Here is a 15,683-nt window from a genome sequence, read left to right on the forward strand (position 1 = left end):
TATGATTCCTCTGCTATGAGGCTCCTAGAGCAGTCAAAAGAGAAAGGAAGTAGAATGCAGTCATAGATACATATGCATATGTGTTAAATGCAGTGGATGCATGGAATGTAGTAGAAAGTGGTCACAGAGAAAGGAGAACAGTTGTTCCCAGAGTCTGGGAGGTAGGGGAATGGAGAGTTATTGTTTAATGAGTAGAGCTTCAGTTTTGCAAGATGAAAAGGGTTCTGGAGATGGATGGTGATGATGGCTGAATAACAATGTAAATGTATTTAATGCCAGTGAAATGTACACTTAAAAAACGATTAAAGTGGGCCTGGTGCAATGGCTCACACCTGTAATCCCAGCATTTTGGGAGGCCGAGGTGGGTGGATCACCTGAGGTCAGGAGTTCAAGACTAGCCTGGCCAACATTGTGAAACCCCGTCTCTACTAAAAAAAATACAAAACTTAGCCAGGTGTGGTGGCTCACGCCTGTAATCCCGGCTACCAGGGAGGCTGAGGCAGGAGAATCACTGGAACCCAGGAGTCAGAGGCTGCAGTGAGCCGAGATCACGCCACTGCACTCCAGCCTGGGTGACAGAGCAAGACTCCGTCTCAAAAAAAAAAAATAAAATAAAATAAAAAAAAAAGGAAAGAAGAAAACTTCAGCACAGCCCCGTGAGTGCTCAGGGTGAACACTCCCTGTGGGCAACTGGGGGGCAGCTGCTCTCTCCAGCTCGGGAACTTCCCCAGGCCTAGAGCTTCTCTGATCTGGGCTGGGGCATCTGCAACAAGCTCTGGCTGGTGCTGCTCGGTGGACCACACTTTGAGTAGCCAGAGTCTAGGCTCTGCGTTCAGCTTCTTTGTTCACTGGACTTCCCTGGGGCCCATAGCTTGCCTTGTACCTGGACTCTCCCTCCTAGCCAGCCCTGCTCTGTGGATGACTCAGTTGGACAGACTTTCCGGCTTTGATTTTATTTTCTCCCCCAAGATGCTGTCTGTTAATCACTTCCTTGAGCAACACGCTGCAGCCATGAGCAAGCAGTGGCCGCCCCTGTCCTACCCAGGGTCCCGCCCCTCCTCCCACCTACACACTTGTCTGGGAGGGGCAGTGCCAGAGCAGGGGCTCACACAGGTACCATGGGATCATGCACTACAGGGGACTGGCCAGCCTGAAGGGCCTACGTCTGCTTCCTGGAGGAAGTGCCCTCCTGCCTAAGTGCTGCACTGGGTCAGTGCCAGCCTGGGGAAGAACAGAGACAGCCCCAGAAACAGTCAGAGGGACAGGAGGTGGCACGCACTGTGGAGTGCCTATAGCACTGTGTGTAGGCAGAATGCAAAGGGGACAGTGTGGGTGGGGACAGTGTTGGTGTAGAAATGGCGGGGAGGTTAGATTGCAGGCACAGAGGGCCTCAGCCATCTCGAGAGCCCAGACTTCCTCCCTGAGGTGATGGCACTTGGGGAAGTCAGTCATGGAAGGATTTTAAGAAAGATGTGAAAGGGGCAGGTTTCTATTTTCAGAAAACCATTCTGGGCCAGTGGAAGATGGAGTACACAGGACCACACCTTGGTGAAGGGAGATTGTAGGAGCCTGGGCTTGGTGGCGGGGGACAGTGGAGAGAACAGCCTGGGATGTATGAACATGGCAAGTCTCCCTTCCTGGACAGTGGGGTTTGCCTATGGTGGACAGAAGGTGAGATCATCCTTTGAAAAATGCCACTTCATAGTGTTTCCCCAGCTGTGGGCCTTCACTCATTGGAGGGTCAAATAATCAATGTATTAGGTTGCAACCAGCATTTCATTTACATGAAATAGAATCAGCCAGGAAATCTCAAAGTACACCACAAGCAATAAGGGTGAGTATTGCTTTTTGTTTTACATTCACATAAACATGTGTTTAGAAGTTTGCAAGCCGCTGCATTCAGGGTCATACTACCGCTGATGGAGCCGAGCATGGAGAAGACGCCCTATGGGCGGCTGTGGCAGCCACCTGCCCTCCAGCCCCTGGGAGGTGGTGTGTGCCCCGGGACTTCTGTACACACAGGAGAGGAGCGTCCAGGCAAGAATGGAGTCACTGCTTGGGGTGCAGACACTCAGAGGGTGAGGGAAATGGTGATGTTTGTGTATGTGTTTGTGTGTGTATGTCAGGGCTGTGCTTTTTGGAGGAAAACAATGAAGGACACACACAGGAGACAGTGACCAACACAGTAGAGCAGTAAAGCAGGCAGAGCCAGAAGAGGCCGACCCTGTAAGAGCAGCAGAGACCTCTCACTGAAAACATCCTGTCCTAATTTCCGCACCCAGAAAACCTGCCAAGAGCCACGCAGATATTTCCAAGTTCCTGGGAGTTGCCTAGAGAGTGAGAGCAGCCCCGTGCACCCATGATCCCCACCCGGGCATCTGTGGAAGGCACAGGAGCCACCCACAACCCGCCTCAGCAGCGCAGCACCAGGAAACGGAGGGAACGCCTCCCGCAGGGGGAGGCTCTGCCCCACACCAGCACTTTCTGGCTGGGCACCTCCAGCAGGTTGCATCACTCCTCGGAGCCATGGGTTCTCATCTCTAATTGGAGTAATTATAAATGGGTTGTTGTGAAAGAGCGTTGCAAATGTTGCAAAGCACAATAGTCTTGGAGTTGTTATTATTATTATCAATCCTAATAACAGCCTTGCCAGGCAGGCAGGGCACGTAGTCATTCGCATTTTAAAACAAGGAGAGAGACTCAGCAATATTGGAGTGATTCATTTGGTATTACAAGCTGCCTGGGGAGTAGCAAACCAGAACCCCGGTCTTCCCACCCACAGCCTGGTGCTGTTTTCCCTGTAACACAACCAGGGGAAGCTGGTTGATAATTTAAATGTAACCAAAAGCTATGATGATTAGATCTTTTCTTCTATCCAAAACCTTGATATAAGACTTGGAGCAATGTGCTCAATTTCCTTCCGTGATGGTTTTCCCATTGAAACTATATAGCCACATTCTTTTTTTTTTTTTTTTTTTGAGATGGAGTCTCGCTCTGTCGCCCAGGCTGGAGTGCAGTGGCGGGATCTCGGCTCACTGCAAGCTCCGCCTCCCGGGTTCACGCCATTCTCCTGCCTCAGCCTCCCGAGTAGCTGGGACTACAGGCGCCCGCCACTACGCCCGGCTAATTTTTTGTATTTTTTTTTAGTAGAGACGGGGTTTCACCGTTTTAGCCGGGATGGTCTCGATCTCCTGACCTCGTGATCCGCCCGCCTCGGCCTCCCAAAGTGCTGGGATTACAGGCATGAGCCACCGCGCCCGGCCTATATAGCCACATTCTACTATAGGTTCCTATAGCACAATGCCTGGGAAGACCAAAGAGGAAATTGAAGATAATACACAAACAAGTCTGCTCCTGGTGGATAGCATCACTCACTATTATTATTAACTTTGTAAACTTCTTTTTCAGAGATATTTCTAAGTCCTTGGACTAAGTGATGTCATAATTATATATATATATATTTATAACAATATAATTTTATATACAAATTATATTTATAATATTTATAACATAATTTGTATATATAAATTATATTTATAATAATATTTATAATAGTATAATTTATATATATAAATTGTATTTATATTATATATCATAAAATAATATATTCTTATATTTATATGTATTATACTTATATATATATTTACTTATACTTGAATTTTGCTCCAGCTCCTACAGAGTGAAAGGACTATGTTTTATGAAATTCCTTTCTAGCTGAGTGAAGTAGGGGCAGTCACTTATCTGGGCATAATGCTGGGTACACAGCAGGTGCTCAATAATATTTATTGAGTAAATAAATAAAATGAGGAATTTAGTACAGCTGGGTCTTGTTAGCTTTATATTTATTTATTTATGAGATGGGGACTTGCTTTGTCATGCAGGCTGGAGTGCAGTGCCATGATCAGAGCTCACTGCAGCCTTGACCTCCTGGGCTCAAGTGATCCTCCTGCCTCAGTTTCCCAAGTAGCTAGGACTACGGGTGCATGCTGCCACGCCTGGCTGATTCTTTTAAAATTCATTTTGTAGAGAGGGAATCTTGCTGTATTAGGATATGGATATGAAGCTGGAAGTCATAAGATCTAGATTCTATCAGTGGCCTCCCACTAGTTGTACAATCCCTATTTCTTCATTGAAACTCTGTGGGCTTCTGGAGGTTTGCCTATAAATGAAAGGGTTGGACCAGGTCAGGGACAGCCAGTAGGGTTCCACTCAAATGCCAGCTGCAGTCAGCTGGCATGGCTGGTGGAGGAGCACTGTGGGCTGTGCTCAGCCTCCAAGGATGAGACCTGGAGGGAATAATGCTGTCCACCTGCTAACTGGCCCCGGGGGTGGAAGGTTACCCTCTAGACACTTGCATTGCTGGACTGAGTCATCTCTAAATCCTTTTCATTTTATGAACCTATAACCAAGAAGGGTTCTTGGATCAGGCAAAACTTAATTTTAGAATGAACTTGGGTAGCTCTGTGCAATTTCTGTGTTTTATGTCAGAAAGCTTTTTTTCCTGTGATCCTGGGACACAAGAAATAAGAAATTAAAGAACTGTATGTTGGGTGTAACCAACATTAGTTTATGGGTTGAGAAATAAATCTCTCTGGAAGTTCTCCTAGCATCTCTAGGAAGATTACTTAGTGCAATATTATTTCTCCCATTTTGTAGAGAGAGGATTTGAGTCATAACAGGTAGAATTATCTGCCTTAGGTCATTTGTAGGGCTAGACATATAATTTAGGTTACTTAACTCGCTTGTGTTTTCTTTCCCAGCAAAAGGAGCCACGGCTCATCCAGTGCATTTCTGAGGTCAGCCTTCACGCCTCGCCCTGTCCGTCCTCCTCACTCTCCCTGTGGGCCTCCATCCTGGCCGAGGTCGTGGATGTGCTGTCACTGGCAAACATTCATGGTAACCTGGCCCCCAGGAAGGGCTTAGTTTAGTCCATGTCACCACCCCATGACTCTCACCCCATTGAAACTTGTTTCCATTTAGAAGCATTAGCTGATCTAACCCAGCAACCTCCTAACTCCATGTTCCTTCATGCAGCCATCCTGGTGAAACAGGCAACTTGTGAGCAAATGTCTATTAAATGGGCTAAGTTCCATTTCCCCGGCCACTTTACATGTGAAACTGATGCTGTGGTCCCTGGGGAGTGATTTGTCACCCAGAACAGTCACCCTCTAAAATGTGCAAATGCTGGTCAGGTGCAGTGGCTCCCACCTGTAATCCTAGCATTCTGGGAGGCCAAGGTGGGTGGATTGCATGAGGCCAGGAGTTTGAGACCAGCCAGGACAACGTGGTGAAACCCCATCTCTACTAAAAATACAAAAATTAGCTAGGCATGGTGGCGCACAGCTGTATTCCCAGCCACTGTGAGAGGTGAAGCCAGCTGGACTTCCTGGGTCGAGAGGGGACTTGGAGAACTTTTCTGTCTTACAAGAGGATTGTAAAACACACCAGTCAGCGCTCTGTAGCTAGCAAGAGGTTTGTAAAATGCACCAATAAGCACTCTGTAAAAATGCACCAATCAGTGCTCTGTAGCTAGCAAGCGGTCTGTAAAATGCACCAATCAGCACTCTTTAAAATGGCCCAAACAGCACTCTGTAAAATGGACCAATCAGCACTCTGTAAAATGGACCAATCAGTGGGACTCTAAAAGTAACCACTCGTGGGGGATTGGGAAAAGGGCATTCTGATAGGACAGAAACAGGACATGGGAGGGGACAAATAAAGGAATAAAAGCTGGCCACCCCAGCCAGCAGTGACAACCCGCTCAGGTCCCCTTCTCCGCTGTGTGACGTTTGTTCTTTTGCTCTTTACAATAAATCTTGCTCCAGCTGGCTCTTTGGTTCCGTGCCATCTTTAAGCACTGTAACACTCACCGGGAAGGTCCGTGGCTCCATTTTGAAGTCAGCGAGGCCAGGAACCCTCCACGAACCCACTGGCAGGAACTAACCCTGGACACAACTGGAGAGGCTGAGGCACGAGAATCACTTGAACCCAGGAGGCAGAGGTTGCAGTGAGCTGAGATGGTGCCACTGCACTCCAGCCTGGGTAACAGAACGTTACACTCTCTCCAAAAAAAAAAAGGCGGGGGCCAAAGGCCCGAAGATAACAACCCTAGAAGCTGCAATGCCACACAGAGGTAAGGATGCAGGCCTGGAGTTGGATCTGGACTTCAGCCGTGTTTTTGCTGTTTATTGGCCTTATGACTTGGTTTCCTTGTGAGTAAAATGGGTACAATAAGGATGGTTGCAAGGAATAAAGGACAGAAGGCTCAGAAAGTACTTGTTATAATGCCTGTGCTATTATAGGGAGCCAAGAAGTATTTGTTTTCTCCCCCATTAAGAAAAAATGGCACAAAATAAAAACGTCACAATGTCATAAACCAAAACTTCCCAAGGTTAAAAATACTGGAGCACTCATGTTTTGTGTTTGTGTGTGTGTGTAAATTGTTTAGCATCACACAGAGGCCTCCAGAGTCCTTCAGAGCTGGTCAAGAAACTGGGTGACAGGGCCCAAAGGGAACTGTCACTGAGGAAAAGCCTTTTTAATAAACCACCCTAAATCCAAATCAGTATGTTAAACAAGAGGTAAACAGTGTTAAGCCAGGAGTGGTGCTAGAAATTCTTTTAATTGTTTAAACGCTCCACTTAGATGTAATTAATGGAAAGCAGGAAATGTCGCAACCTGAACAGGGAGACAGGATCCTGCTCTTGCCTGGGACGGACATCTGAGCCCGGTGCAGAGAAAAGTTCTGAAGAGTCCGGCGGCCCTTCTGCTGCGCTCCTACCTGTCCCGGGACAGGGATGAGGGCCAGCTGTCCTAAGAGGTGGTCTAGGTGGCCTGAGCAGTGTGACCCCTGGGATGAGGGGGTGAATATGGCAGCCCAGGGCCCCTGTCTGAGGACTGGCAATAGGAAGCCCAGAGCTCCTGGCTGAGGCCAAGCCCCTGTGAGGGTGGATGGAAAGAATCCGGGCCAGGAGGAGAGTGGTCCAGGCCAGGCTGCACCCCTGACTCATGGTCACCTTATGGCTCTGCTGTTTCCTCCTCTGTAACAGGAAGGCTTGGGATTAGGTGGACTTTAAGAATGCTCTGCATGAAGATTTTGTGGGGTTTCCATAGCCGCCAACCTTCCCAGTGACCAAGTTTTGTAGAGAGAATCGGGGGGTCCTCTGTGTCCCTGCCAGTGGCCTCTGCCCTCATTTTTGCAGAGGAGTCCAGATCTGTTCTACTTTAGCCCTCATCTGACAGGGCAGCAGCAGATTCATCTCATCAGTTAGAACATGCCCTATCCTGAACTCTCTCTCGTGAGCGTGGTGGGGGCAGGCGGGGTGGTCACAAAAGTAATTTTGGTGCAAAAGGAATTGCAGTTTTTGCCATCAAAAGTAATGGCAAAAGCCTCAATTAAGTAAGTGCTTCAACCTAATACCTCTTTTGAAGATGAAAAACTGAGGCTTGGAGTTTTTCCAATTATACAAGCTTTGCATTTAATGAGTTCTCAATAACAGTTGACCTTCTAACTGAAAGAAATGGAACTCTGCAGGTGAACAGACAAAAATCATGTCTTCGTCGAAATGTATTGGAGGAGCTGAAGAAAGGCTGCCATGAATGATCATGCCTGCTAGGCTGCTCTAAGCAGCTGCAGTCACAACTTGATGCTGAAAATTAGGTTGGTGTGCTCTGGAGAGCAATTTGATATGTGTATCAAGAGCCTTAAGCCTTTGACTTGGTAATTCCACTTTCTGAATCTACCATAGGAAATAATGGAACTTCTGACAGATTTCATAGAAAGCTCATTGCGGTAGCATTGTTTTCTAGGGTACATCAGCAGATCCCATCAGAAGGACCCTGTGCCCTGAATCCTGAGAGGTCTGAGAGGACCAAGCGCCCCAGTGCCCTGGTCTTTGCCTACAACCTCAGGGAGAAGGGGACTCACAGTGACACCAGACAGGCCCTGAACCCTGGGGGAGGAAGCTCTAGGGCCTCAGTGACCTTCCTGCCTCTACTGCCCTCGGCAATAGACAACTATCAGGACAGAGAATGCTTTAACTGATCAGATGAATCTGCTGCTGCCTTGTCAGATGGGGGCTAAAATAGAAATAAGTGTGATAAGAAAAGGAAAGTTCTATTTCTCACTTTCCTAAGCTGTAGACTGCAATTCACATTGCTACGCTTGAGATATGATGTTGCATGGAAAAAGAAAAGCCTGAGAACTTAACGTGATATGAGTTCAATGTGTAAACAACATACACATACATACTTAGGACAAAGATGGAAGAAAATTCATTTTTTCATTCAACATGTATTTGTTCCACATGTACCAGAATGTTGCCTGCAGTTATCACTGGTGGCAGGATTATGTGAGACTTATTATCTTTTCTTATCTTTATCTTTTTAATATTTTCTAACCTGAAGATATATTACTTATGTAATTACAAAAAATTCAAATCGTTTAAACATTTTAGTAATGTTAGTTTTTTCTCAGCTATGTGTGGTTGATTTCTTAAACCCATATAAAATTTGTTTTATGAGAGACAGAATGTATCTTATTTTTCTCAAATATTTTCATGTAGAAAACTTACATAAAACAAGACCAAATGCCAGAGGTTTCAAACTTCTAATCATATTTGTGGTGCTAATGTGGGGCTATACTTCTAATCATATTTGTGGGGCTGATGGATACCGAAAGTAATAATTACATTATTTCAAATACACTGTTATTCCTTTGTTGACATGGGTCATTACAGCCTGAAAGTTGGTGTCCCTCCAAAATTCATATGTTGGTATGTAAACCCCAAAGTTATGGTATTAAGAGATGAAGCTTTTGGAAGGTAATTAGGTCATAAGGGCTCTGCCCCCATGGATGAGTTTAACTCCCTTTAAAAAGGGCTTTTCTTCTGCCCTTTTTCTTCTGCCATGCGAGGACACAGTGAGAAGGTGCCTGCATATTGGAAGGAGAGAGGAGCCCTCACTAAACACCAATCTGTGAGCACCTTGATGTTAGACCTCCCAGCCTCCAGAACTGTGGGAAATAAATTTCTATTACTTATAAATTACCCAGTCTAAGGTATTCTTGTTATAGCAGCCCAAACAGACTAAGACATGGATCAGTAATGACTGATTTATTCTAGCAGCAATGCTTCCGCTGAAAAAGAAACGTATTTCAGAGTCAGTCACTTGAGTTTGAATCACAATGTTTTCATTTACAACCATGAGATCTGTCACCTCATCTCATTTTTATCAATCAGGCTTAGTTCGCTCACTGGTCACGTAAGAAAAAAATAACCATGTAAATTACTGTGCAAATTCTTAGTTATTTTCTCTACATCTTCTATTCAAAATTTCCACTAAGATTATATTATACATATACTTCTATAATAGATCCATAACATCCAGGAAAAATGTGGACACTTTAGTCAGAAGGTTGTAAATATTTACATTATTATTATTTGTGCTTATTGAGTGAGCAAAAGTTTCACTAGGATTCTAGCATAGACCTAGCATGGCTTCAGGGATGGCCAAGAAAATGAAGGAGAAGTGGGACGTCGACTTCTCAGCTCAGACATGCATCACTTGTGACCTGCCATAAAGGGCAGCTATCTAAGAGTTGTGTGCCTCCGAGGCCCAAACGATACCATGAAGAGGTTCAAATGCCATTTATTCCTTCAGCGAGAATTTAGTGCATCCTCTGTGGAAGGCACATGGAATGATGGGGACAGGGAGTTGAACACTAGCTGGTCTCTGCTCTCACCCAGCTTCAGGATCAGTGGGAGAACTAGTAGGCACCCCGGTGACTCCCTGCGTGTTCTGCCGCCTGACGGTGGGAACGCAGCAGAGGCGCCTGCCCAGGCTGTTTCCCAAATGATTAGTCAGCTATTTTGCCACCATGTATTTGGTGTTTTAAATGCCGTCATAATAACCGAATTATGATATGTACCTTAATTTGTTTCCTGAATTTCTTATTCTGATCTGTCGTGCGTCATCTGTTTCATTATGGCAGCTGTACATGATAAAATAGTATTCTTTATTAAAATATTGGCTTGAATATTCTTATATTTACTAGTACAATTACAATTTAAATCTAGAATCACATTACAAAATCATTCATCCCATTGAACTTTTTATTGGAACCACATTAAAAAAGTATAGTTTAACTGGGAAGGTTTCTATCTTTGCAAAATCAAGCTTTTTCACCTAGGAAGGCGGAATATGTCCACTTGTTCAAGTCTTCTTAAGGTTGATCAAGGTAGACATGACTTTTTATAATCTAGTGGGAAGACTGTACAAAATAACTTTAATAAAGTGTGATGTGCTGATAGGGGAAGTGTTAAAATGTCCATTGGACTTTGCAGATCATGAAATCATTTGTATAATCACAAATGTATCACTAAACACACTCATGCTCATACACACTCACATGATCACATACTCATGCTCACACATGCACATATTCACATGCTCACACTCATGCTCACACAGGCACACACTCATGTTCACACACTCACATGCTCACACATGCACATACATGCTCACGCACTCAAGCTCACACACACACATATATACACACTCATGCTCATTCATGCACACACACACGGTCACTCATGCTCACATACTGATGTTCCCACATGCACACGTGTACACACATGCTCACTAATGTTCACACGTGCTCACACGCTCACATACTCAGTGCTCACATGCACACACACTCATGCTCACACACATTTGCAAACAGTCATGCTCACACACGGTCACACACTCATGCTCACACATGCTCACATATTCATATTCATGCTCATGCACACTTTCTCACACATGCTCATACATCCATGCTCACACACACATGCTAAACACATACACACTAACATGCTACACACATGCACACACATTCATGCTCATACACATGCACATACACTCATGATCACACATGTGCACACATGCTCACACACTCGTGTCACACACGTTTACACACATGATCACATTCTTACAGGCTCTCATGTTCACATCACACATTAATGGTCACACATGCTCACACACATGTTCACACACATGCTCTCACACACAAATGCTCTCACACACTTGCTCACATACTTGCTCACATACATTCATGCTCACACACACACCACACCATTGCATGCTTCAGCCGTTGCCCGTGCTATTTCCTCCCTTGGAAAGCCCTCTACTGTGAGGCCCTCACCTCTCAACCCTCTCCCTGGCCCCCATGTTGTCTATGTGATTTCTTGCCATTTAAAAATCTACCCAGGTGTCAGCGCTTGGGCAGTTTCCTCACACCTCTCACCCAGTTCATCCTCCCTTGCTTGGTGCTATTTCTGCCCTTGTCCATATCCCCACCACAGCATGCACTTTGGATTCCAGGCACGCTCCTTGAGTGTGACCCCGAGGCCCTCTGTGGGCTCTTGGAGCAGGGCAAAGCTGGGTGTGCTGGGGCGCAGCACGGGCCTGATGCCCTGAGGTTGTTTGTTGTGCTGGGCTGGAGGCGTTCGAAGAAACGTCCAAGGAGGCTGCTAGACTCAGTTCTTTCTTTCTGTTTTCCCTCCACCTCCTCTGCTAGTGGAAGCTCCATGTCTCCCAGGCTCGTGAGCTGGCAAACACCCCGCTTGCATGGTTCAGTGTTGTCGTTGGCGGCAGGCGTACGTGGAAGGCCAGTTACAGAGGGTCTCTAGGGCTAATGCATTTCACAACACACCGCCCTCTGACACTCCACGCTCTGCTTTTCCTCCAGAACCACTCCCTTTGCAAAACTCTGTTTCAAACAAAAAGAGCACAAAGAGGCTGACCGTGCCTTCCTCCAACCAAGCTCCCCTCTCCACAGGTGCACAGCAAGAGCCCTTTGTCTGTGATGGGACAGGCCTGGGCTCCAGTGAGCAAGACAGGCACTGTGGGCCCATCCAAATATTAACTGTGGACACTTTCCTACTTTGAAAACATGAGACTTTGTACTCAGAGCCCTGCCCTCCAGAGAACACAATTACTTCTGTTTTTCTTTTCCTAGTGGAAGGAGGCTTGACACTGGTGATGGCCTTGCCTTTACAATGCTCAGGGTTTGGGAAAGTCAGGGCCTAGGGCTGCTGATCTCCAGGCACTGTCTGCTTTCCATCTATCCTCTCTGCTTGGTCCCTGAAAAGCAGGAGGGAGACAGGAGGAATGGGAGCATGAATGCCCTCAGGGTCCACGGGGGATCCCGGAAGGCCTAGAACACCAGGGGTCTGGGCTCCACCCATGATGGATCATGCCTTTGGGGGAAGATTGGCCTACACTCATGTCAAGTAATAAGTTTTACTTCCTGCACCTGGTGTTAGGTTGGTTCTAAGATGCAGCTGTAACCTGTGACTAAGATCAATATTTTTCATGTCACTATCTGATCATACAATGGTCAATTTATCGATTTAGAAAATTGTTGCACAACGAGGCAACACCGAGTCATGACTTAAAAAAAAAAAAAGTGGATCTAACCGAAGCTAGATTGTGGCTTATCACCTTTGATTGTCAGTTTCTTGGGTCAAATCTTAATGCCACATTGACCACTGTGTCAAGAGAGGCCAGGTTCCAACTCAGCTCCGTGTATAGTGTTCATGGAATCTCAATGCTCATCAGGCGCTGCTGGGGCTGGGCCTCGGGGAGGGGCAGGCTCCTGTCAGCACAAGTCACCAGCACAGGTTTTAACCAGCCAGTCTGGGCTACTTTTACCACTGAAGCAGTGGGGCGAGAAACTCTATTTTACAGTGTTTCTAAAACCTCTGTGAGCTAAAAGTAGAAGCAACTCAAATGCCCCTCACCTGATGAATAAACAAACACAGTGTGGCATCCTCGTACAATGGAGTATTATTCAGCCATAGAAAGGGAGGAAATAGTTGTGCTCGATACAGTATGGATGAGGCTTGGAGACATGATGATAAGTGAAAAGAAGCCAATCACAAAAGGACAAATAATGTATGATTCCATTTATAAGAAATGTGTGGAATAGGCACAGCCATTGAGACAGAAAGTAGGTCGGTGGGGGATGGGGAAAAGGGGAGAATGGGAAGTGGCTGCTCGCAGTTATGAAGTTTCTTTGTGGAGTGAGAAAAATGCTTTAAAATTGGTTGTGGTTATGGTTGCACAATTCCGCAAATATCCTAAGAACCACTACACTGCAGACTTTGAAGAGGTGAATTGTATGGTATGTGAATCATATCTCAGTGAAGTGTTTCTTTGAAAAACCCACATAGGTTTTATTGCATATACAGACCCATTTAAAACAATTAATGTAATCCCATTTAATGTAATCAAGGGATGCCTTTTTAAATGAACGCTTTTATGTTTAGTTTGTGAGAAAGTAAATTTCTTCCCATTACATCTTAGATTCACCCACTTGGTCAGAAGTGGGCTGGTAGACATGGTTAAGGGTGTGAGATCCCAGGACTTTAAACCACAGTAACTGTTTCCTCAGAGGGCCAAAGTGGGTAAGAGAGAACAGCCACGGCCTCACCCCCAGCACAGGCACCTGCCTTGGTTCTCATGTCACAGGCAGGAGACTTTCTGGATGGTAACAGGCCCTGGAGTGCCCACAGCCAGGATTCCTCAGAAAAGCCAGTGGACCACACACAGCGATGCTTCTCCAACACCTGGCAATGTGGAGGAAGCACAGAGAACTTGAAGTTCTTGCTGAGAGTCACTACAGACCACTGTCATTGCCCACTTGACAAGTTCCCATGCCAGCCCTGCTCTTTCCTCACACTCTGAGACCTCTGCCCATCCTTACTCTCTGCTGTTGACCTGAACCCACATCTGTTGACTGGAATCCCTGTTTCCCCACCTCCCGTCTGTCCACCGTGCTGCGTTTCCCCTGCTCTCCATCCTCCTGTACAGTGGGTGTGTGGCATATCCTGGCTCCTGTCAGAAAGCCCCTCTCGCCACCTCTTTAAGGAACTGCACCTGCAGGAAGCCCACCCCCCTCCCTCTCCTGCACTGTAAGACTCTGTGTGCTTGGGACTATTGGGAATAATGTATAATGTGCTCCAGTACATGGCACCTGCTATGTCTTTAAACTCCCCATTGATCCCAATCTTCTACCTCCCTTACTATATCTCTGTCCCCCCACCTTGAGAGATAGTCCCAAAAGAACTGCTTGTAATCACTGCCTCCACTTCTTCCTCTCTTGTTCCTGCCACATCCCATCATCACTTCTCCATCCTCATTTTATTTGACCTCTTGGCACAGTTAGCAGTTGGCACAATCAGCCACTGTCTCTTTCTTGACCCACTCCTTTCTCTTTGTTTCTGCGACACCATACCCTCCTGGTTTTCTTTTCCCCCTACTTACCGCTGCTTCCTGGCCTCTTTACTCCCTCTCCTCCCCGAGCCTGGCCTCTAAATGCTGGAGTACCCAGGCTGGTCCTGGGCCTTCCCTAAGGCTTCGCAGTTTACACTCTTACTGCTCACCTGGTTTCTGGTAATCGGGGCCTTCAGTTTTCATATCTGTATGAGGACAGGCTAGGAGGTAGTGGCCCAAATAAGATAGAATGGTGAACCTTTTTGTGGGCAAACCTGAGAATGTTCAAAGAATGGCATCCTCTGTGAAAAGCAGGGCTAGAAGAATACACAAAGGAAGATGACAAAGCTTTCTTGGCCTGAGAGTCTAGAAGACTTCAAAATAAATGTATTTTAAATGATTAAGAGTATAATGAAAGGAAATAAAACTGAAACAAATTACTAAATCTCTACCTCCAATAAAAAGAGTAGATTTGAAAAATACTCAACTAGGACTTCTAGAAATTAAAAACATAATTATTAAGATGAAAAACTCTTTAATGAATTTAAACAATGGATTAGTACAGTTGAAGAGCCAATTTTGAACTGGAAGATAAATAAAAGGAAATTACTTCAAAATTAGCACTGAGAGATAAAAAGAAGAAAAATTAGGAAAGAGGGGTTAAGAAACATGGAGGGTAGAATAAGAAGGTCCCACATATGTTGAGAAGGAGAAAACAGAAAAGAAGAATATTTAAAGAGCAAGTAAACGAGAATTTTCTAAAAGCGAGGAAAGATGTAAATTCTCAGATTCCAAGGTCACAAGTCTGAAGTAGGATAAAAATAAATAAATCCACACTGGACACATCACAGTGAAACTGCAGAACACCAAAGAGACACACATGATCATAAAAGCAGCCATAGGGCCTTGCACAGTGGCACACCCCTGTAATCCCAGCACGTTGGGAGGCTGAGGTGGGTAGGTCATGAGGTCAAGAGTTTGAGACCAGCCTGGCCAACATGATGAAACCCCATCTCTATTAAAAATACAAAAATTAGCCGGACGTGGTGGTGTGCACCTGTAATCCCAGCTACTCGGGAGGCTGAGGCGGGAGAATCACTTGAAACCAGAAAGTGGAGGTAGCAGTGAGCAGAGATCGCACCACTGCACTCCAGCCTGGGCAACAAGAGCTAAACTCCATCTCAAAAAAAAAAAAAAAAAAAAAAAAAGCAGCCACAGAAAAAATGTGCACAATCTACAAAGAAATTACAGTTATACTGACTTCTTAAAAAGCAACAAGAGAAGCCAGAAGGCTATAGAAAAATAGCTTCAATGAACTGAGAGAAAATAATTGTCAACCTGGTATTGCACATTCAGTTTAAATATCATCCAAGAGTAAGGACTTCTATATCCGGGTTCCTACTTCACAGCACCCTATTATTTGA

At 45.6% G+C, this 15,683-nt stretch overlaps 1 annotated feature.

The window, feature by feature from the left end:
- Positions 11,546 to 12,068: an enhancer, noted in NCBI's record as "NANOG-H3K4me1 hESC enhancer chr13:20924041-20924563 (GRCh37/hg19 assembly coordinates)". NCBI's record gives its function as "activates a minimal SCP1, AML or CMV promoter by ChIP-STARR-seq in naive H9 embryonic stem cells {active_cell/tissue: H9 hESC(naive)}" and the evidence as "EXISTENCE:reporter gene assay evidence [ECO:0000049][PMID:30033119]".

This window comes from Homo sapiens, chromosome 13 (genome assembly GCF_000001405.40).
Source record: "Homo sapiens chromosome 13, GRCh38.p14 Primary Assembly".
NCBI classification, from domain to species: domain Eukaryota; kingdom Metazoa; phylum Chordata; class Mammalia; order Primates; family Hominidae; genus Homo; species Homo sapiens.